At 39.9% G+C, this 21,749-nt stretch overlaps 1 long non-coding RNA gene across 1 annotated transcript, besides 1 other annotated feature; it reads right to left on the reverse strand.

Annotated features, from left to right (window-relative positions):
* Positions 1,948 to 2,702: an enhancer, noted in NCBI's record as "OCT4-NANOG-H3K27ac hESC enhancer chr2:205070104-205070858 (GRCh37/hg19 assembly coordinates)". NCBI's record gives its function as "activates a minimal SCP1, AML or CMV promoter by ChIP-STARR-seq in naive and primed H9 embryonic stem cells {active_cell/tissue: H9 hESC(naive and primed)}" and the evidence as "EXISTENCE:reporter gene assay evidence [ECO:0000049][PMID:30033119]".
* On the reverse strand, positions 14,995 to 20,971 carry LOC124906115 (uncharacterized). The gene is made up of 2 exons (XR_007088055.1): positions 20,742 to 20,971; positions 14,995 to 16,825 (listed from the first exon to the last, which is right to left on the reverse strand). It is a non-coding gene; the product is annotated as an uncharacterized LOC124906115 (long non-coding RNA).
* Positions 20,972 to 21,749: the final 778 nt, after the last annotated feature.

The following is a 21,749-nucleotide window of genomic DNA, read 5'->3' on the forward strand; positions in this document are numbered from 1 at the left end:
TTATCCCTGCTTTGGAGTTGAAGCCAGGTCTAGCAGCCCCATAGAAGTCATGTGGACAGAATGACAGGGAGAAGCTGCGTACACATCCAATTTCCTCGGCCTATCCTCTGGATATTTGTATGCCGTAGAACTAGGGTGGGGTCCAGAAGCCTCCATTACGTAAATATTTCAAGAGATGCTCATGATCAGGTAAGCCTGGGAATCAGGGGTAGATAAACTCTGCAGTTCCCTTCCATGAATTTCTGAAGACTGGCAGGTTTCGCTGTCCTTTGCAATGTAGTGTAGTAAGTAAAAAGATAGCCTTGAAGTCAGAGATCTAGTCAGTATTTAACATTCCTACGCTTTGTGATTGTGAGCAAATCTCTCTAAGCATCAGGGTTAGCTGTAAAATGCAGTGTTATATGTAAAATAAGCCTAATCATAATTCCGTCAGCACCCACTGTGCGCCAGGTGGTTACTGAGGTAGGACAGGCACGGCCCCACCCTCACAGAGCACACAGTCTAAGCAAGCAGAACAGGAAATAAGTGACAGCAGTGACATGTGATGAGGTGTCCCAGCCAGTTTGTGGGGTTGCTGTGAGGTAAGAGGAGATCATGTGGAAACACTAGAATTATAAAACACAGCAGGTATACAAGCATTTACTTCACCACCATCATCCTTATTTTAGCAAGAAAGAGGGCTCTGTTAATGGTCATGGAGAAACAGAAATTAGGGACCAGAAAATGGATGTCCCAACTGGGAAATATTGACAGAATAAATAAAAAGGGGAGGAGAATAGGGAGAGTCTAGCATTATAGAAGCCAGGAGAGGACAGAGATTTTGAAAGAGGATGATTGATAGTTCTTTTTTTTTTTTTTCTTTTGAGACAGAGTTTCAGTCTTGTTGCCCAGGCTGGAGTGCAATGGCGCGATCTCGGCCCACTGCAACCTCCGCCTCCTGGGTTCAAGCGATTCTCCTGCCTCAGCCCCCCGAGTAGCTGGGATTACAGGCGTGCGCCACTATGTCCAGCTAATTTTGTATTTTTAGTAGAGACTGGGTTTTTCCATGTTGGTCAGGCTGGTCTCGAACTCCTGATCTCAGGTGATCCACCTGCCTTGGCCTCCCAAAGTGCTGGGATTACAGGTGAGAGCCAGCTGCCCGGCCTGATAGTTTTTTTGTTTTTTTGTTTTTGTTTTTGTTCTTTTTGAGACGGAGTCTCATTCTACTGTCCAGGCTGGAGTGCAGTGGCGTGATCTCAGCTCACTGCAAACTCTGCCTCCTGGGTTCAAGCGATTCTTGTGCCTCAGCCTCCCAAGTAGCTGGGATTATAGGCACCCGCCACCATACCCAGCTAATTTTTGTATTTTTAGTAGAGTTGTGGTTTTACCACGTTGGCCAGGCTGGTCTCAAACTCCTGACCTCAGGTGATCCACCTGCCTTGGCCTCCCAAAGTGTTGGGATTATGGGCATGAGCCACTGCACCCAGCTGATGAACAACAGTTCTAAATACTTCAGAGATATCAAAGAGAGTGAGAACTGAGAAAAAGTATTTAGAAGGCTGAGTTGGGCAATTGGTGATTTGAGAGATGCAGGCAGATGGCAAAACAAAACAGGTTATTTTCCATCAGTTTTATTGAGTAGGACACTGAACAACAGAGTGATACCCCCAGGTAAGTCATTTGCAGAAATCAGATCAAAATGCTCTGTCTTTCTAAAGGTCAAAGTTATATCATCGCAAATTAGAGAGTCCCAGTTGCTTGCTGCAGTCTCCACCTCTGGCACTGATGCCAGCCTGGGGAAGTCCTGGGCACCACACAGGCAAAATGACTCTCTTTGTAGAGGTGGCTCCTTTCAGGTTAGGGTGGCGCTATTTAACGCATAGGTAGGTGGCCTGGCACTCTTTGTTATGCATCTGTAAGATACTTTGGGGTTTAGGAAGCTGGCGCACTATAAATTGTTATATCATTAATAATAAATTGTGCTCTGCAAGAAACCTGCGTTGCAGACATGAGCGCTACAGTGTTAAGACAGCTCTACTACAGGGTGAATTTCACAGACAGTAGTAAAAGGGGTCAATTCACCTGGGTGGGAAGGAAGAGCTCAATATCTAACATATGTTGGGACTGATGTTTCAAAATGTATATTTTTAAAATGTGGAGGGAAAAAATCTGCCTCTAGGCTGGCTCTTTTTATTCTACTGGGCTGCTTTGTAAACCCGAGGCATAAGTCCTGAAAAAGTCTGACGCCAACAAAATGTAGATTAACTGCAGGAACAGATGCGAGGCCACAGCGGCAGATCAAAGCCAGGCTGCTGAGGGAGCCGCTCAGCCCACTGTGATGGGGCATTACCATAATGAATTTTGTGAGTAAGCAGCTCACTTTAAAATCGTTCCTTTTGATCTGTTAAGAAGGTGTTTACTGTAATCAGGAAAAGGTTTACTTGGCAGGGGAAAAGAAAGAAAGAAAGAGGAAGCAAGAGAGACAGTTTTCGATCTGGTTTTAAAGAATTTTCTTTGCTCTCTCTGGTGTCTAGACCCTCTTCCTAGATCCTTTCCTTCTCTGATTTCCTTAACCTTCTTAGAAAAGAAAACTTAATTTTAACTTAAGTAGATGAGAGTTTAATGTGTGAGGGGGAGGAGCAGGTGAGAAATGGATAAACTCAAAGGTGTCTTGCCTTAAAAAGTAAATTATGAGGCTGGGCACAGTCACGCCTGTGATCCCAGCACTTTGGGAGGCCGAGGCAGGTGGATCACGAGGTCAGGAGTTCAAGACCAGCCTGGGCAAGATGACGAAACCCCGTCTCTACTAAAAATACAAAAAAATTAGCCAGGTGTGGTGGCGGGCACCTGTAATCCCAGCTACTTGGGAGGCTGAGGCAGAGAATTGCTTGAACCCGGGAGACAGAGGCTGCAGTGAGCTGAGATGGTGCCACTGCACTGCAGCCTGGGTGACAGAGCGAGACTCCATTTCAAAAAAAAAAAAAAAAAAAGAGTGAATTATGGTTTCAAACCGAAAGAAACTACACAAGTCAGAATTGCTAAAATAAGGTAAAAGAATAGATTAAGTGTTTTAAGAAAAAGGCAAATCTCTGCTCTGTTAATATAAGGCTTCCTTCCTCTTAGGCATTTCTGGGCATTGCTAGGAATGTGTCAGTGAAAGAACGGTTTTTCAGACTGCTCTCTTCCACCATGGATTGCTCTTCCCATATCATCTCAGACAGAGGCAAAGTCCCCGAAAAGCTGAATGTTCCTTCTCCTGGGGAGAGAGTGCAAGTTTCTCCAGTCTACTAAATCTGAATGTGTATATAATCCTTTTGTAATGTGGAGGAATGTAATTAAGACCCACTCTGTCAGACAGCTGGATAAAGTTTTTCTCTTTCCTTCCTCTTCTCTCTCTTTTTCCTCCCTCACCCCTCTTTCCTTCCCTCTCCCTTTCACTATCTTCAGGGACCTTAAGAAAAGTGGCTTTAGCAATAGTCAATTTGTCGCCAAACTGTACATCACCCAATGTGACATTAGCCATGGTAGGGGACAGAAATTAATATCTTTTACCCAGTCATTGCAAGGTACTTTGTTGAGATCTTTATAACAAAAGATCAATGAACAGGATAAAAATGGACAAAATTGTTTAATATAAGTTTTATGTGACACGGGAGCCTTCAGAAATAAAGACCCAAAGAGACATGAAAAGCTGTATTTTTGTGATTGGGTTTGATGAAGAGTGGACAGTCATGCAGAAGTATGATTGGACAAAAGGGTATATGGTCTAACGGTAATAAACTGAGGGGAACCTAGCAAGGCCTGTTTGTACAGAACCTTCTCTGATGTCTCTGCCTTCATTCCTTTCCTCTGCGCAAAGGAAGGATCCCTGTGAATGAGGGTCCTATGACCTATGTTAGAGGAAAGTCAGAGCATTCTTTTATGGCTTGCTTCTGGAGAGAATAGCATTCCATTGGGTACTATGCTCATTACTGGGTCAAGAGATCAATTTTACCCCAAACCTTAGCATCATGCAATATATTTATGTAATAAACTTGCACATGTATGCACTGAATCTAAAATAAAAGTGAAATTATATTAAAAAAATAAAATGAAATATGGTACCAGAAAAAAAATGAGTTCTTTATATGAGAGAAGGTCAGAGAGACCTTCCTACTTCTGCTGTTTCCTCAAATGCCAAGCTGTCGTATTTGGGGGTAGCATGTCCTGAACTTCATCACCATCTATCTCCCCATGACTACTTCCATTCACATTATTACTGCGCAAAGACTAGATGGAAAGCTGGAAGGGTGGGACTTGCAGATTGCATCCATCCCATTTGCAAGAGGCTCAGGTTTGGGGTCTGGGACCTGTGGACAGGAAAGTCACATGAGCCCAGAACCAGCTGCTAACTGTTGTCATGTCAACAGAAGAAGTCACAATCCTTACCCTTTCCAAAAATTCTCATAGGGGGAGACTTAAGAATGTTAAAAAGTTGCTTTGACAAGAGAAAAATCCCTTTCTGTCCTCATCAGATTTTGGTAAAGAACACAGGAGTCGGTGCAGATCCAAGAACAAAAACACATCCACACACCCTTTGGGTGAACAGGCTGCAGTGGTAGCAGCCACAGAGGAAGTTGAAGGAAGGCAACAGCTGGGGCAACTCACATCTCAGGAAAACCCACTCCATGTGTTCTTTTATTTCAGATGAAATTCCTTAGAAAACAGATACTTTGAAGCCCCTTAAAAGTGAGTGATTTAATCCCAACACTTTAATGGCTTTCCCAAGAAAACTTGTTCAACTCCCAATTCCCAGTGACACCCACATCTTTGAAGGTTTTCCTAAGAGGCACTCAGCAAAGTATCTGGACATAGAGGGCACTCAAATATTTGTTGATGGAATGCTAATGGTAAAATCATAAAAGAAATATCATTTTGGAGAATGTCTCCCTCAAAAGAACTTGAAAATCAAAAATTTAAACATTCATAGAAAAAGTGTCTCAAATTGAGGTCAATGGCCTGATTTTAATGTCTGCCCTAATATTGGATTTTTGCTGGCTTTTAAACATTTTTAAAACAATTTTAGAAAAAATTCAAATACAGAAATATAAATAGAAAATAAATAGAATCAAATATTGATTCTCTGTATACCCATCACCCAGTATTAAAAATTTCTTAGTTCATTTTGTGTTGCTATAAGAGAATACCACAGACTGAGAAACTTACAATGAACAGAAATTTATTTGGCTCCCAGTTCTAGAGGCTAGGAAGCCCAGGAGCATGGCACTGGCATCTAGTGAGGACCTTTGTGCATCATCCCATGTCAGAAGGATGAAAGGCAAGAGAGAGTGCGAGTAAGAGGGTGCTGAACTAGAGTTTATAACAAAGTCAATGTTGTGATAACAACATGAAACCATTCATGAGGCCAGAGCCCTCAGGACCTCTCATTAGGCCCCACCTCACAACACTCTTGCATTGGGGATTAAGATTTCAATACATAAACTTTGGAAAACACATTGAAGCCACAGCATTCCAACATTCTGCTCTTCTTGGGTCATCCATATTTTCACCTCCTCCCCACCCCCTCACTTCATTATTATTTACCATTGTAGCCAAAATTTATGTATACTGAAATGGACAAATCTTAGCTGTATAATTTTAATGAATGGATAGACTCATGCAAACTTCATCCCATTATACATTTAAATATTTTCATCTCTCAGAAAATTCCTTCATGGCGCTTCTAAGTCATTTTAGACAATTTTTGCCTGTTTCAAGAACATCATATACATGGAATCATACAGTTATGTACCTATATATCTTTTTTCTTCACTTTGTATAATGTCTGTGAGATTTATCCATATTTTTTCATGTATAGGTAGTTTATCACTTTTTTTGTTGAGCAGTATTTTGTTATAATTCTTTCGTTGATGAACACTTGGGCTGTCTTCAGTTGTCAGCTATTATGAAAAAAGCAGCAGTAAACACTCTTGTACAAGTATTTGGTAGACATTTGTTTTCATTTCAGTTGGATACATAATGAGAAATGAATTACTGAGCCAATATGTGTAGAACTTTATAAGAAACTGTATATATAACTTTAAAAGAAACTACACATCAGTTTTCCAAAGCAGTTACACAATTTTACATTTCCACCAGCAGTGTACAAAGGCTCTGATTGCCCCACATCCTTGTCCACATTTGGTATTGGCCCATATTTTAAATGTCAACCATTGTGATGCATGTGTAGTGGTATCTTATTGTGGTTTTAATTAGCTTTTCCTCTATGATTAATGATGATGAACAGTTTTTCAAGTGCTTATTGGTCATTGGAATATCTTCTTTAAAAAATTGGGTTTTTCTTGTAAGTGAGAGCTACATATTGGGTATCCACGGACATAAACATGGCAACAGTAGACTCTGGGCACTACTGGGGTTGGGGGCAAGCGTTGAAAATCTATTGGGTACTATGCTCACTACTGGGTGAAGAGATCAATTGTACCCCAAACCTCAGCACCCATGCAATTTATTCATGTAACAAACTTGTACCCACTGAATCTAAAATAAAAGTGAAATTATATTAAAAAATAAAATGAAACATGTTACCAGAGGAAAAAAATGAGTTATTTATATATTCTGTATGCAAATCCTTTTTCAGAGATATGTTTTGCAAATATTTTCTCCCTAGTCTGCAGATGGTCAATTCATTATCTTAACAGTGTCTTTTCGTGAGCAGAAGTTTTAAAATTTGATAGTGTATAATTTTTTTTGTTTATTGCTTTCTTTGTGATTTTTAAGAAACATTCAGTTACCTTAGTTTATGAAGCTGTTCTCCTGTTTTAATATTCCTAAAAGCTTTTCTTCTAAAAGCTGTAATTTTAGCTTTCACGCTTAGATTTATCATCATCTAAATTTTTGTTTGTATGGTATGAGGAAGGGATTGAGATTCTTTTTTAATTTTTCTTGTAGATATTCATTTGTCCCAGCACCTTTATTAAGAACACTTTCCTTTCCCCCACTGAATTGCCTTGACATTATTGTCAAAAATCAATTAACCATGTAAGTACAGGTCAATTTCTGGATTCTGCATTATGTTCTATTGATCTATGTGTCTCTTCTTATGCCAATAACTCATTGCGTTCATTATTGTAGCTTTGTAGGAAGTCTTGAAGGCAGATAGTATATGTAAATCTATGAACTTGGTTTTTCTTTAAAAAAATTGTTTAGCTGTTCTAAGTTATTTGCATTTCCATATAAATTTTGAAGTCAGCTTTTCATTTTCTATTAAAAAAAGCCTGGTGACATTATAATTTGATTGCATTGATTCTATAAATTAATTTGAGGAAAATTAGTATTTTAACAACACTGAATCTTCCAACCTATGAATTGGTGTGTCTATTTATTTAAGTCTTCTTTAGTTTCTGTCAGCGATGTTTAGTAGTTTTCAGTACAGAGGTTTGGCTCACCTTTTGTTCCAGTTATTCCCAAGTATTTTATGTTTTCTGATGCTATATAAATATAATTAATTTTTAAGTGTCCACCTTCTATTTGCCAGCATATAGAAATACAATTGATTTTTATCTGTTAATCTTGTATCATGAAACTTGACTTATTCCTGATACTTGTAATTTGTGTTTTTTCTTTTTCCCCCTTATTTGTTTTATTATGAGATTACTGATTTTATTAATATTTTCAAATAACTTTCTTGGGATTTGATTTTTTTCTGTTTTCCTCTTTTCTATTTCATTGATACCTGCTCTTTATTATTTTATTGGTGCTACTTAGGATTCTTCTTACTCATCTTTTTTAGCATCTTAAGATCATTGAAATCAGGTCTTCTAACATAAGCACTCAAAATCTCACTTATCATTCTAATCACTGCTTTAGTTACGTCACACAACTTTTGATATGTTGTATTTTTATTATAATTTAGATGATGAATATTCATATTTTTCTTGTGATTTCTTCTTTTGTCCATTGGTTATATCAACATTTACTGTTTAATTTCTAAATGTTGTGTTTTTTCTAGATAGTTTATTATTATTGAGTTCTAATTTAAGCTCTTTGCGGTCAGAGAACATACTCTATAAAATTTCAATCTTTTGAAGTATAGTGAGACCCTTTATAAGCCTAGCCTATGGTCGATTCTAGTGAATGTCCCATGTTTCCTGGAAATAAATCTTCATTCTATCATTGTTGTGGTAGTGTTCTACAAATGTAATGAAGTCAAGATTGTTAGCTGTGGTCTAATCTTCTATATCCTTGCTAATTTTTTTGACTGGTTGTTCAATAAATCACTGAGAAAAGAGTGTTACAAATCTCCAACTATAATTTTGCATTTATGTATTTCCCCTTCATTTTGTTTTTGCTTCACATTTTTTGAAATAAAATTTAAGTCCATACCCATTTAAAATGGTAATTGTTACTGATGAATTAACCCTTTAATTATTGTGAAATGTCATGTTTTGTCTCTAATAATACTCCTTGTCTTCAAGTTTATTTTGTCTGACAATAAAATAGCCACTACAGCTGTCTTATGATTGGTATTTGCATGATATAACATTTTTCATCATTTTACATTTAACTTATTTGTATTTTTGTATTAAAGTACATCTTTTGTGAGCAGTGTGGACAGCATTGAGGTAGATCTTCTTTTTTTAAATCCATTTTGTCAATCTCTGGCTTTTATTGCAGTGATTAGTTATTCAAATTTAATGTAATTATTAGAATGGCTAGAGTTAGGTTTGCCATTTACTATTTGTTTTTTATTTATTTTTATTCCCTGTTTTGGGGTGGGATATACAGATTTTCATATTCTAGTTTTATTTCCTCTATTGACTTTTTAGCTATACTTCTTTGCATTTTTTTTGGTGGTTGTCCTAGGGATTACAATATGCATTGTTAACTTTCATAATCTACCTAGAGTTCATAGTCTATTGCTTAACATAAAATACAGTTACCTTGAAGCAGTATAGATCTATTTATCCCTTCATTCTTCATGTTATTTTATCTGTTATATTAACTCCATGTGTTTCATAAATCTTACATACAGTTTCATAATTTTATATATAACAAGTCATTTTTTAATTAAGGGAAAATATATATAAATGTACAGTCAATTTTATTACTTCTAGTTTTCATATTTGCAAATTCACCTACTCACTACATTTTTTTTACAATCCCAAAATCAATACAATAGCTTTCTCATGGTAATTCGCAGACAGGTGTAGAGAGACAAAAAATTCACCTGATGCATATATTCCCAGCTGAGGTCAAACCAGGAAATGCTGTGCCTTTTTTTTTATTTTTTGAGATGGAGTCTTGCTCTGTCACCCAGGCTAGCGTGCAGTGGCACGATCTCGGCTCACTGCAACCTCCGCCTCCCTGTTTCAAGTGATTCTCCTGCCTCAGCCTCCCAAGTAACTGGGATTATAGGCGCCTGCCACCACGCCCAGCTAATTTTTATATTTTTAGTAGAGACGGGGTTTCACCATCTTGGCCAGGCTGGTCTCGAACTCCTGACCTTGTGATCCACCCACCTTGGCCTCCCAAAGTGCTGGGATTACAGGCATGTGCCACCACGCCCAGCCATGCGTTCTTAATTCAGCCCTCCCTTATATAGACATTATAAATAAGTGTATTTTTCATAGTCTATTTAGTGCCACATTGCATTTGTGTGCTTTTTGTTAGTGATTTTGCCATTTAAAACGTCCCCCAAGTGTGAGGTGAAGTGCTGAGTAATAGGCTTTGCACAAGAAGGCTGTGAGAAAATAGTGAGATAGATAAATTTCTTTCAAGCAGGAGTTATACTGCTGTTGGCCATGAGTTCAATATTAATGAATCAACAATATATATGAAATAACTTGTCTTCAAACAGAAACACACAAGATCAAGTATTGATCAGTTGATGAAAATGTTATGACCAGAAGATTTCAGGAGCCTAATCCTGTATTTCCCCTAGGAGCAATAATTCAGTGTTCACTAATTTCATGTTCACAGCTACTTTATAGAACATAATTACTGTAAATAACAAGAATTGACTATATTACATATGTGTGTGTATGTATGTATGCACAGAAGTCTTTAAGATGTATCCACATATTTTCTATTTCTAGAAATCCTTATTTTTTCATGTAGACTCAAGCATACCATTTTCTTTAGCCAAAAGAACTCTTTTCAGCATATTTTGTAGTGCAAGCCTGCTGGCAACAAATGCACTGAGTTTTTGTTCATGTTAAAATGTTTTATTTTAGCTTTCAATTTTGGCAGGTATTTTCACTGGGTGAAAACTTCTGGGTTAACAGTTTTTCCCTTTCAGCACTTTAAAGATACTGTACCATTGTCTTCTACCCCCCACTGTTTCTCTAGACAAGTCAGAAGTTATTCTTATCATTGTTCTCCTGTATGGAGTATCTCATTTTTCATTGCCTGCTTTCAAGATTGTCTCTTTATCTTTGTTTGTTTGTTTTTTCAGCAGTTTGACTATGATGTATCCTTGTTTATTTATTTATTTTTAATTTATCCTGTAAAGCTGTGGCTTTCTGTCACTTGAGCCTCTTGTGGAATAGGCAATACTTTCAGACTAAATACCATAAACTTGCAAATTTTATCTTTCATCGTTCCTCTTTCCTCTTTCTCTTTCTTTCTTTCTTTTTCTTTCTTTCTCTTTCTTTCCTTCTTTCTTCCTTTCTTTTCTTTCTTTTTCTTCTTTCTTTTTCTTTCTTTCTTCCTTTCTCTCTCTCTTTCCCCCCTCCCTCCCTCCCTCCCTCCCTTCCTTCCTTCCTTCCTTCCTTCCTTCCTTCCTTCCTTCCTTCCTTCCTTCCTATCTTCCTTCCTTCCTTCCTCTCTTTCTCTCTTCCTTTCTTTTTGATAGAGTTTCGCTCTTTTCACCCAGGCTGGACTGCAATGGCACGATCTCGGCTCACTGCAACCTCTGCCTCCCAGGTTCAAGTGATTCTCCTGCCTCAGCCTCCTGAGTAGCTAGGATTACAGGCACCCACCACCACGACCAGCTAATTTTTGTATATTTAGTAGAGATGGGGTTTCACCAGTTGGCCAGGCTGGTCTTGAACTCCTGACCTCAGGTGATCCCCGCCTCGGCCTCCCAAAGTGCTGGGATTACAGGTATGAGCCACCACACCCAGTCCATGGTTTCCCTTTCAAAGTAAACCCTCCCTGCAGTTTCTGCTTACTTTTAATCACTCTTCTGAGCCCTTAAATAATTGTGTGTTTGCATGTGTCTATGTGTGTGTAATAATAGTTTTCCAGATCTTACAGCTTTTTTTTTGTAAGAGAGTTAGTTTGATTGAGCTACTCTGTTATTACTCAATTCATTTGTTTATAATTGGAAACTAAGGCATGTTCTTGAAAGTAAAGAAACAGTACCATAAATACCTTATGAATGTTTACAGTGCATCCCATAGTTTTCATTTTATATCTGAGATTGACTAGCTTGAATTCTGACAGTTTGACCAATCTAAACTTAACAACAATGAAAAGAAACTTGCGGCTTATAGTAGGGTTGCTTTCAGACTCAAATAGAAATGGGACACAAAAATCTGTTAAGATTAATAGAGAAGATTAATCTCAATCTTCTTAAGAAACTTTTATATTTGTGATTTTAAAACAACTTTTCTATACATCATCACACTCTAATCAGAAAAGTAAGTAACTTGATGTTTTAGTCCTTTCATGCTGTCATAGTAAGGTGGCATAGGCAGCTTATAAAAAACAAACACTTATTTCTTAGAGTTCTGGAGACTGTGGAGTCCAAGATCAATGTGTTAGCGGATTTAGCATCCCATGAGGGTCCTCTTCCTGTTTCATAGACAGCACCTTCTCTCTGTGTCCTCACACAGTGGAAGTGAGGGATCCCTCTCAGGACTCTTTTATAAGGGCACTAATGCCTTTTATGAGGACTCTGCCCTCATGACCTAATTACCTCCCAGTGGCACCACTTCCTAATACCATCAACTTGGAGGCTAGAATGTGAATGTATGCATTTTGAGGGACACAAACATTCAGACCATAGCACTTGATTTGAATCAGAGTATTAGCGTGTGACATTGCCCATAGCTTTACTTGGAAATCACTATAGTTCTTCACGTTTCGAATACTCAAAACCCTTCTGAGGCTTCTCAGTTCTAATAATGACCTACGCCACCATGCATGATTTGGACCTTGTTTTCTGTCTAAATTATATTCTGTAATTCTCTCCTTTGGCCACTCCACTCCAGCCATACTGATCTCCTGATTTTTCTTTAAAAATACCAGGTGACCAGGCAGGCTCATACCTCAGACCTTTTTTCCTTACTGTTCCCTCTGCCTAGAATTCTCTTCCCCTAGATAGTTTCATAGCTAGTCTTCCTTTTTCAGGTGTTTGTTCAAAAGTTAGATTCATAAAGCAGACTTTCATTTCCACCATATGTAAAATTACAACTCCACCCCCGACAACAGAAAACTTTCTGTTTTAATTCCCTTATTATGTCTCTCTCTCTAATATAGTATATGCAGTTGGCCCTTGAACAACACAAATTTGTACTGCATGGTCCATTTACACACATATTTTTTTCAATAAATCTTTCTTGCCTCACCTTCTACCTCCTCCATCTTCTTTGCCTCTGTCATCCTGAGACAGCAAGACCAGTCCTTCCTCTTCCTTCTCCTCCAACTCAGCCTATTTAACATAACGAGGACAATGATGCCCAAGACCTCTATGATTATCCACTTCCACTTAATGAACAGTAAATATATTTTCTCTTCCTTATGATTTTCTTGATAACATTTTCTTTTCTTTAGCTTATTTTAAGAATACAGTATATAATACATATAACCCACAAAAGACGTGTTAATCAACTGTTTATGTTATCTGTAAGGCTTCTGGTCAACCATAGGCTATTAGTAGTTAGGTTTTTAGGGAGTAAAAAGTTATATATGGATTTTTGACTGCACAGGGGGTCAGCACCACTACCACTCACATTGTTCAAGGGTCAACCGTAGTTTCTTTCTTTCTTTTTTTATTTTTGGGGCAGGGTTCTGCTCTGTCGCCCTGGTTGGAGTTCAGTGGTGCAATCATGGTTCACTGCAGAGTCTACCTCCCAGGCCCAGGTGACTCCTCCACCTTAGCCTCCTGCGTAGCTGGGGCTATAGGGGCGTGCCACCATGCCTGGCTAATGAAAAAATTTTTTTTTGTAGACTTGAGGTCTCCCTATGTTGCCCAGGCTGGTCTCAAACTCCTGAGCTCAAGTGATCCTCCTGCCTCGGCCTCCCAAAGTGCTAGGATTACAGATGTGAACAACCACGCCAAGCACGCCCAGCCTAGTTTCTTACTTATCTTATTTTCTAGATTTGTTTGCCAGTGTTTTACTAGAACATACCTCCACAAAGTTAGCATTGTTTATGTGTGTTAATCATGGTATCCCCATACCCTTTAATGTTACCACGCACACATTAGTGCTAAATAATTTGTTGAATGAATAAATAAATGAAACTCCCTTGAAAGTTTCTGGAATACTGTTAAGCAATTACCATCTAGAACTTTCTCAGTTGACTTACATGAACACAAGCAGCTTTTGCTATTACAGAAGTATGAGATTAGTATTTTCAATTCACAGTTGTATTTTCAATTCACTTTCTACATCGGGAAATGTTGCTTTTTATTTCACCATAGGGGATTTCTACATTGTTATTACAAGACAAATATTATTATTATGAATATCACTGAAACCCAAAATTTAGTCTAATAAAAACATATTTATGCTTTGACCAATGGTCCATGGTAATAGTACCTTGTTGGTCTTGTTATAGCAAAATTTCCTCATATATATTACGTGTATGCAAGACACACACACACACACACACACACACACACAATCTCAGTACAATCAATGTTCCATTACTGGTCCTAGTGGCTTGTTATAATGAAAACATCTAACACCTGACTGTGTAACATAATGCAAACTGGAAGAGAAATATAATACAGTGGCTCTAGCTAGTGTAGTACAAATAAAGAGTAAAATATAATTGTCCTTAAAAAATTACAAGAAATTGTAATTGCCTTGGTTCTCTGGGGAATAAAACCAAAAGGGAACATGTCAGAGGGCAAAGAGAATTGACTTCTGCAAGCATACATTTCTGCCTTGGTCTGCATGCTTGGGCAGCTTTAATGAACCACCTCATCTTGGAGGGACGTTGGCTCCCGCTTTGTCCTATGTCTAGTCCTTGACCCTGGGAAAGTGGCCTATAAGTACTGGCAATGAGATTTCTAACAATGTTGATTATAGTAAATTCCAATCAAGTGAACAATCTTTTACCTTCCTTAAAGTTCTTTGTGATGGGATTTGACCCATAATATTTTTATAGATAGCCATAAATGAGCAACAAGGGGATGTGTAACTTGCACAGCAGGACTAATTTCTCTGATTGTCTAATCGTTGACAATTGAAATTGCTTATATTTTCTAATATCTTAAATGCCCCCAGACAAGCCAACCTTCCCATGACACATCCTCCCTGTAAGGGTTCCTTGGGCCCTCTATTAGTTTTCGAGCTTCTGAAATGTGAGGACATTTTTCTAACTTATGTCTTACCCAGTTCACATATAAATATCACTCTACTTCCACATCTGGGAATAGGATCACATTATAGCAATTATAACAGCTACAGTGTTCTTACTTGTCTCCTTTTTCATTACAACACACTATTTGTGTTTTATTAAAGAGCTAGCCAAACCATAAATCCTAAACTCATTAATATAAATATTAACAAATTAATGGATTGGCCAGATAGGTTTAAGTCCAAGATCTACAAAATACTGACTTCGATTCCCCCCTTGAATGCTCAACATACCAAAATTTGGTCTCTCCAAGTGAGCCTTCACTGTCACTCAAATTCTACCCCATTCCTCAAAACATTCTTTTTAATCTTTACTCTCTTCCACCTAAAGACATCAATTTCTTTCACATTATTCCTCACCTTACTTCTTTATTCAGTTACTTAAATACCCCACTCTAACTTTAAGCAAACGTATTATAATCAATTTCAAATGAAAATAAATACATATTTATTGTAGGAAATGTATAAAACATATAACAGCCAAACAAAGAAAAAAGAAAAGAACATTATTCCTACCACTCAGAGATGGCCATAGATAATGTTTTAGAGTATTTGCTATGTTTACATAAAATATTTTAATGTATATATAATATGTATAAATATGTGTCTCATATATAATGTGTGTATATATATTTAATGTCTCTCTATCTCTGTATGTATATCTTAGTCTTCCTGAGGTTCTATAACAAAATAGCATAAACTAGGTAGATTATAACCAACAGAAATTTATTTCTCACAGTTCTGGAGGCTGGGAAGTCCAAGATCTAGGAACCAGCACATTTGGTGTCTGGTGAGGGCCTGCTTCCTCATAGATTCATAGATGGTGTCTTCTTACTGTGTCTTCACATGGAGGAAAAATGATGGGGTTTTTCTTGGGTCTCCTTTATAAAGGTACTAGTTGCATGAAGGCCCCACACTCATGAGCTAATCACCTCCTTAAAGCCCTACCTCCTAATATCATTGCTTTGGGGGCTATGATTTTAATATATGAATTTTGGGGGGACTCAAACATTCAGACCATATCAGTAAATATATATATATGAACTATATATGAAATAATAATATATGTAAGCACTGATGATTAGAAATTATGTATGTGTGTATATCTCTCTATATATACATAATCTATACATATCACTGTATATGTTTTTAACCTACTTTCAAAATAACACCTAATACTATCTTTGCATGCAATTTAAATACGTCACCATAATTCTAATATCTTCTTAGAGAGATAGTATCTGTGGTTTACAGCAGGGGTCCCCAACCCCCAGGCCATGGACTGGCACAGGTCTGTAACTTGTTAGGAACCAGGCTGCACAGAAGGAGGTGAGTGGGGGGCCAAGTGAGAGAAGCTTCATCTGTATTTACAGCCACTCCCCATCACTTGTATTACCACCTGAGCTCCGCCTCCTGTCAGATCAGGAACAGCATTAAATTCTCATAGGATCACAAACCCTATTGTGAACTGCACATGGGAGGGTTCTAGGTTGTGCACTCCTTATGGGAATCTAATGCCTGATGATCTGTCACCATCTCCCATCACCCCTAGATGGGACCATCTAGTTGCAGGAAAACAAGCTCAGGGCTCTCACTGATTCTACATTCTGGTGAGTTGTATAATTATTTCATTATATATTACAGTGTAATAAAAATAGAAATAAAGTGCACAATAAATGTAATGCAGTTAAATCATCCCCTACCCCAGTCCACGGGAGAATTGTCTTCCATGAAACCATCCCCTGGTGCCAAAAATGTTGGAGACTACTGGTTTAGAGCATGCCCTCTGGAACCAGATTGCCTAGTTCAAATCCTAGGTCCACTACTTACTAGCTGCATGATCATGGGTAAAATCACTTAACCTCTATGTAATTCAATTTCCTCAATTATAAAATGAAAATAATACAAGTATCTTCCTCATAAAATTCCTGTGTAGCCTGTGTAGATTAAATACATTAATATTTGCATGGCACTTAGAACTTTGCTTGATGCATAATCATCTCTGTATATCATTATTATTATTATTCCATTTGGGGGTATATTAGTCTGCTAGGGCTGTCATAACAGAATACCTTAGGGTAAGTATTTTAAACAACATAGATTTATTGTCTCACAGTTCTGGAGACTGGAAGTTCGAGATCAAGGTGCCAACAGGGCTTCTGGTGAGGCCTCTCTCCTTGGCTTGCAGGTGGCCACCTTCTTGCCGTGTCTTCATTTCTCTGGTGTCTCTCCATCTTCTTATAAGGGCTCCAGTCCTGTTGGATTAGGGCCTCATCCTTATGATATCATTTAACCTTAGTTAACTCCAAGTACAGTCACATTGGGGTTAGTGCATCAACATATAAATTTTTGGGGAACATAATTCAGCCCATAATAGGATATGTATGCTAATTTGATTATTATTAGACATTTAGGTTGGTTTCTGTTCTTGCCACAAAAATATTCATGCCTCAGTGAACATTGTCCATTATTATTTCCTTAGTATAAATTCCCACACATATATATCCCAAGAAATGTGAAATAAGGAAGCAAATAAGTACATCAGTTTGAAATAGAACATCAGTTTGGTTTCTATTAAGTATTCCTCCAACACATTTTTACATATATATATATATATATATACACACACATATCCCTCTATATATGTATATATATACATATACCTATACATATATATTGCATATATATAATATATATCTCCAAAGAAATGTCAAATAAGGAAGCAAATAAGTAATTATAATTTTTAATTTAATTTAATTTAATTTTATTCTTTTTAGAGACAGGGTCTTGCTCTGTTGCCCAGGCTGGAGTGCAGTGGTGCAATCATAGCTCACTGCAGCCTTGAACTCCTGGGCTTAACTAATCCTCCTGTCTCAGCCTCCAGAGTAGCTGGGATTACATGTCACTCCCGGCAGTAATTATAATTTGTTATTCTTAGTTGGAGTTTTCCCAGAAGCAAATTCTGAGACAATGACTTGGGTACAGGTAGGTTATTTGGGAAATGATTCCAGGAAGCCAACATGAGGGAGGAGACAGAGAAATAGAGATGAGAAAGGGAGGAAAGTCTAAAAAGTAGGTTAATGACCTCATTACCACTGTAGGCCGCTGGGGGCCCCTGAGGATATAGGAAGCTGAGATATTTATCAACTACATTTTCTCCTTTGTTGAGAATTTCCCTGGAACACTGACTCTTCTGGATGTAGATGATCAAGCATTTGAATGCCATATCAAACTCTTAGGCTGAGAGGCAGAACTCTGTCAGCGTGCCAGGGTTATAGATGAGACAAAGAGATAGGGTCAAGGCATCAGGAGCATCTACTATCCTGAGAAATTAAAGTTGGTGGCTCCTTGACTATAAGGTTCTGTTTCTTTTCTTTGTTTCCTACTTGGCTCTTTGTCTCTATCACTCCGAACGCCAATTACATCTGGATCCAGAAGTGTCCAACTGGGCAGTTTCCAGAAGTGTCCAAGTGGGCAGTTTCCCCCTGCGTCTTCTACTTCCTGAAGACTGTCCATGGGGTTCTATCCCATGGGAAAGGCTCTATTTCGCTTAGATTGCTTTCCATGCTCCACACTCACATTTCCAAGTATCTACTGGGCATGTCCAGTTGGATGTCTCCTAGATTCCTCAAATCCATCACATCATCAAGAGGGAAGTTATCACCTTTCCCCAGTCCTGCTTCCTTACCACTGGTAGCATGAATGGCACTGCCTTCTACCCAGCTGCCCAAGCCAGAAGCCAAGCATTGCCTCGATTCTTTCCTCTTGCCGGAGCCAAGCATTCATGTTCCAAATGCTTTTGCGACTCATCTACATCTCTCCATTACCACAGTCGCTACTCTATTTCATCTTCTTTTACCTTGAATACTGTGTCAGTCTCCAAACTGATTTTCTGATGTTGCCTGCCTCTAATCCTTTCTCCATACTGCAGCAAGTTGAATTCTCTAAATGCCACAAGAGCAACTGATCCTAACACTATTTTTCTTAGACTTCTGCTTGCTTTAAGTATAAAGTTAAGTCTTTAAAGTGGCTGGCATGCCCTTCCTGATCTAGCTATTGTCTTTATCTCTCTGCCTCATAATCTGTCACCACCACCCACTCCAAGTCCCCCCACCAACCCCACCCCCCACCTTTAACAACATACTCTGACTACTGGGTTTCTCTCAGGGCTGCAATGTACTTCTCTCTCTCCTTCCCCATAGCACTACTGCCCTTTTAACATAGAACACTCCTCCTGCACTCCTTGACCTGTGCTGACTACTCCCACCCCATCTTAAGGTCTCAGAAAACACATCTTTGAGGCACCTGCTATAACCTCTTCTAGTAAGTACCACATACTTCTTTTAACCTTCCTCTACCCCCATTTTCTCATCTATAAATGGAATATATAATAACATACACTTTGTATGAAAGTTGTGAGGATTACATGAATTAATGTTATAGGATCTTTGGGGTGTCACTCTTCTGGCTGGAAACCTCTGTGGCTGGTGGCACCTTTGCCCGACTTTTGCTTGGGCCCACTCGGCTCATTGAGCCCACTTGGCCTGGCAGGCTGTGTTCAGCTAACACTACTGGTCTGGATCCCACGTCTGCCAAGGAAGGGTGAGCCAGGCTTGGAGTGGCAAGGGGTGTGTGATTGAGCAAGTGTAGGGTCCAGCCACTGCACACAGTCAGGCATGCCAGCAACTGCAGTGGGGCGGGCAGCTCCAGGAGCCAGCACAGGCACCAGCTCTCTGCAAGGCTGCGCCTGGACCAAGCGCACTGCAAGAAGCTTCCCCAGCTGGCACCAAGGAATGTGGTAGCACTCAGAAGCTTGAAGATGCTAGGAAGCACAGGGCCTCAAAGAGAGAGTCACAGCCCTTGCTTGGGGAGCTCCCAGGTCTGGGATCCCCGAAGGGCTGCAGCTCTTCTCTCCCTCTCTTCACTGGCAACGTGGCAAGCAAGGGGCATGTTTCAACCCTGTTTGTGTTCCAGCTCTTCTAGCCTTGCCATTTGGGTCACAGGTCCCAAGTTCTTGTCCTGTGACTAGGAAGAATGAGGCATGCAGACAAGTGGAGGGTGAGCAAGACAAAGAGGAGCTTTACTGAGCACTAGAACAGCTCAGAGACCCACTGTGGGCCGCTTCTTTCTGTAGCCAGGGTGTCCTGACGAGTGTTCAGCCCTCAGCAGAGAGGAAGAGGCTCTGGGGTGGGTGGCTCCTCTCTGCTGTTGGTCACCCTGACTTCTCCACAGCTTAGCAGAGAGGAGGCCCTAGAGTGGGTTGTTCCTCTCTGCAGGCAGGTCATCCCTGGAGTGGGAAGCTCTGCTCTGCTGTTGGTCATCCAGTGTTCTCCAGCTATCAGCAGAAAGGGCAGCTCCTCTCTGCAGCCGGTCGTCCCGTCCTCTACTCTGTTCTAGCTGAGTCCAGGGGCTTTTATGCGCTTCAGAGGGGGGAAGTGCATGCTGATTGGTCCATGGGCAGCCAGGGGTGGGCCCAGGAAAAAGCACCATGAGTTCTCTCTCTGGTCCACAGGACTGGCAGCCCAGTCCCCAGGCTTCAGGCTTTCCCTGGCCCAAAGGTGGGGCCTCACCAGGGTCCCACCCTTTTCTGCCCAGGAGCTTGTCTGCCTCCTGCTGCAGTCCATGGCACCCAGGCTGCTCGTGCCAAGGGATGCCTGCAGGCCAACGCTGAGCTGCCCTCAGTCCCCGCTTGGCTTCCCTCTCATGCTCATTGGCGCCTAAAGTCCAGAGGGGTCCGAGCTGGCAGAGGGCTGGTGTGTCAGTGCTGCCTCAAGCATGTGCCCACTAGACCGGGCTGCGACAGCACCCGAGCTTGGTCCCAATCTTGCTCCATGATCAGAGCAGCCTCCAGGAGCAGGGAGAGGCCAGGCAGCGGCAGGAGGCACTTACAAGACTGTCAGGGGAAAGGGAACCTTCCTGGGCCCCCAAGAGCACAGAGATGCCCGGGTCTACAGCCCGGCGTGGGCAGCTCCAGTGGCACCCGGGAAGGGCAGGGCTGTCTGCTCCATGGAGCGTGAGGCCCTGGCCAAGCCTCCCTGCTGCAGTTGGCATCTTGGCAGTGGCAGACCATCTGGAGCAGCTGCTGCTATCATTAATATATGCAGAGTAAGCATTCAATAAATATTAGCTATTACTATTATTAGAATATTTATCATATCAAAGCATAACTACCTGTTTAATTGTCTGTCTCTCCATCTGGACAGAAAGTTCCATGAGGGCAGCAATCTTTTGTCTTGTTCATAGTTGGTTCTTCAGCGCTGTGTCCATTGTCACATGGCAGGGACCCAGCCTGAAGCAAGGCAATTTCTCAGAGCTGTAAGGAGGTGGTGGAGAAATGAATGTGTATAAATGACTCGTGTTAGGAGAGGTGAGACATTTAGGGTGTTATGTGTTCAGGTTTTCAGGGACAATCTGCAGCAATGACTGAAGAAGGGGAACACTAAATGCTCTTAACTTAACTCACAATGGTCCTGTGAAGACAGTAGCTTTACTGAAGAGGCATCTGAGCAGTGGAAGGATTAAATGGCTGCTCTAGAGTTCTAAAGTAAGTGACACAGAGCCTCTTCGCTCACCTCTTCCCCAACTATGTTCTGTATATTAACAACTCAGTATGCTAAGAAATGTTAGTGAAAGAATTTAAGGGCACAAATAAATATGGAGACCACAGGGTTAAGTAGAAGTGAATGTTGTTATTTTGTTGCAGGGCTGCTCAGAGCTTTTACTATGCTAACGAGAATTGTGACTTTCCAAGAAGAGAAAGCATGGAGCTTGCCTAGCTCACTTAAACAGAGAACCCTATGTTCTTGGAGCCCTCCTGGGAAACAGCGTTGGCCCTTGCTCTTAGTCCTCTACCCATGTTGCCTACCTCCCTTCTGCCATCAAGATTTGGTGTTTCTGATCCTTGATGTTTAAGGTTTAGTAATGATTCAATTCCACAATAAAAATATAATCTCTGTTTAATGCTCATTTGATTCAAGAATTGTGCTAGATACTGTGGTAATACTGCAAAGGTGCCTGTTTTTCTGACAATATTGCTACTGAGAGAAAGAAAAACAACAGTGATAAGCACAATCTTACAGTGCTTTGATATTTTTTCAAAATACACTCATAGCTTGAATTTCATTTGCTATTTGATGGGATACATGCATTAGACATTATTAGCCCCACAGAACAGATGAG

This window comes from Homo sapiens, chromosome 2 (genome assembly GCF_000001405.40).
Source record: "Homo sapiens chromosome 2, GRCh38.p14 Primary Assembly".
Classification (NCBI taxonomy): Eukaryota; Metazoa; Chordata; class Mammalia; order Primates; family Hominidae; genus Homo; species Homo sapiens.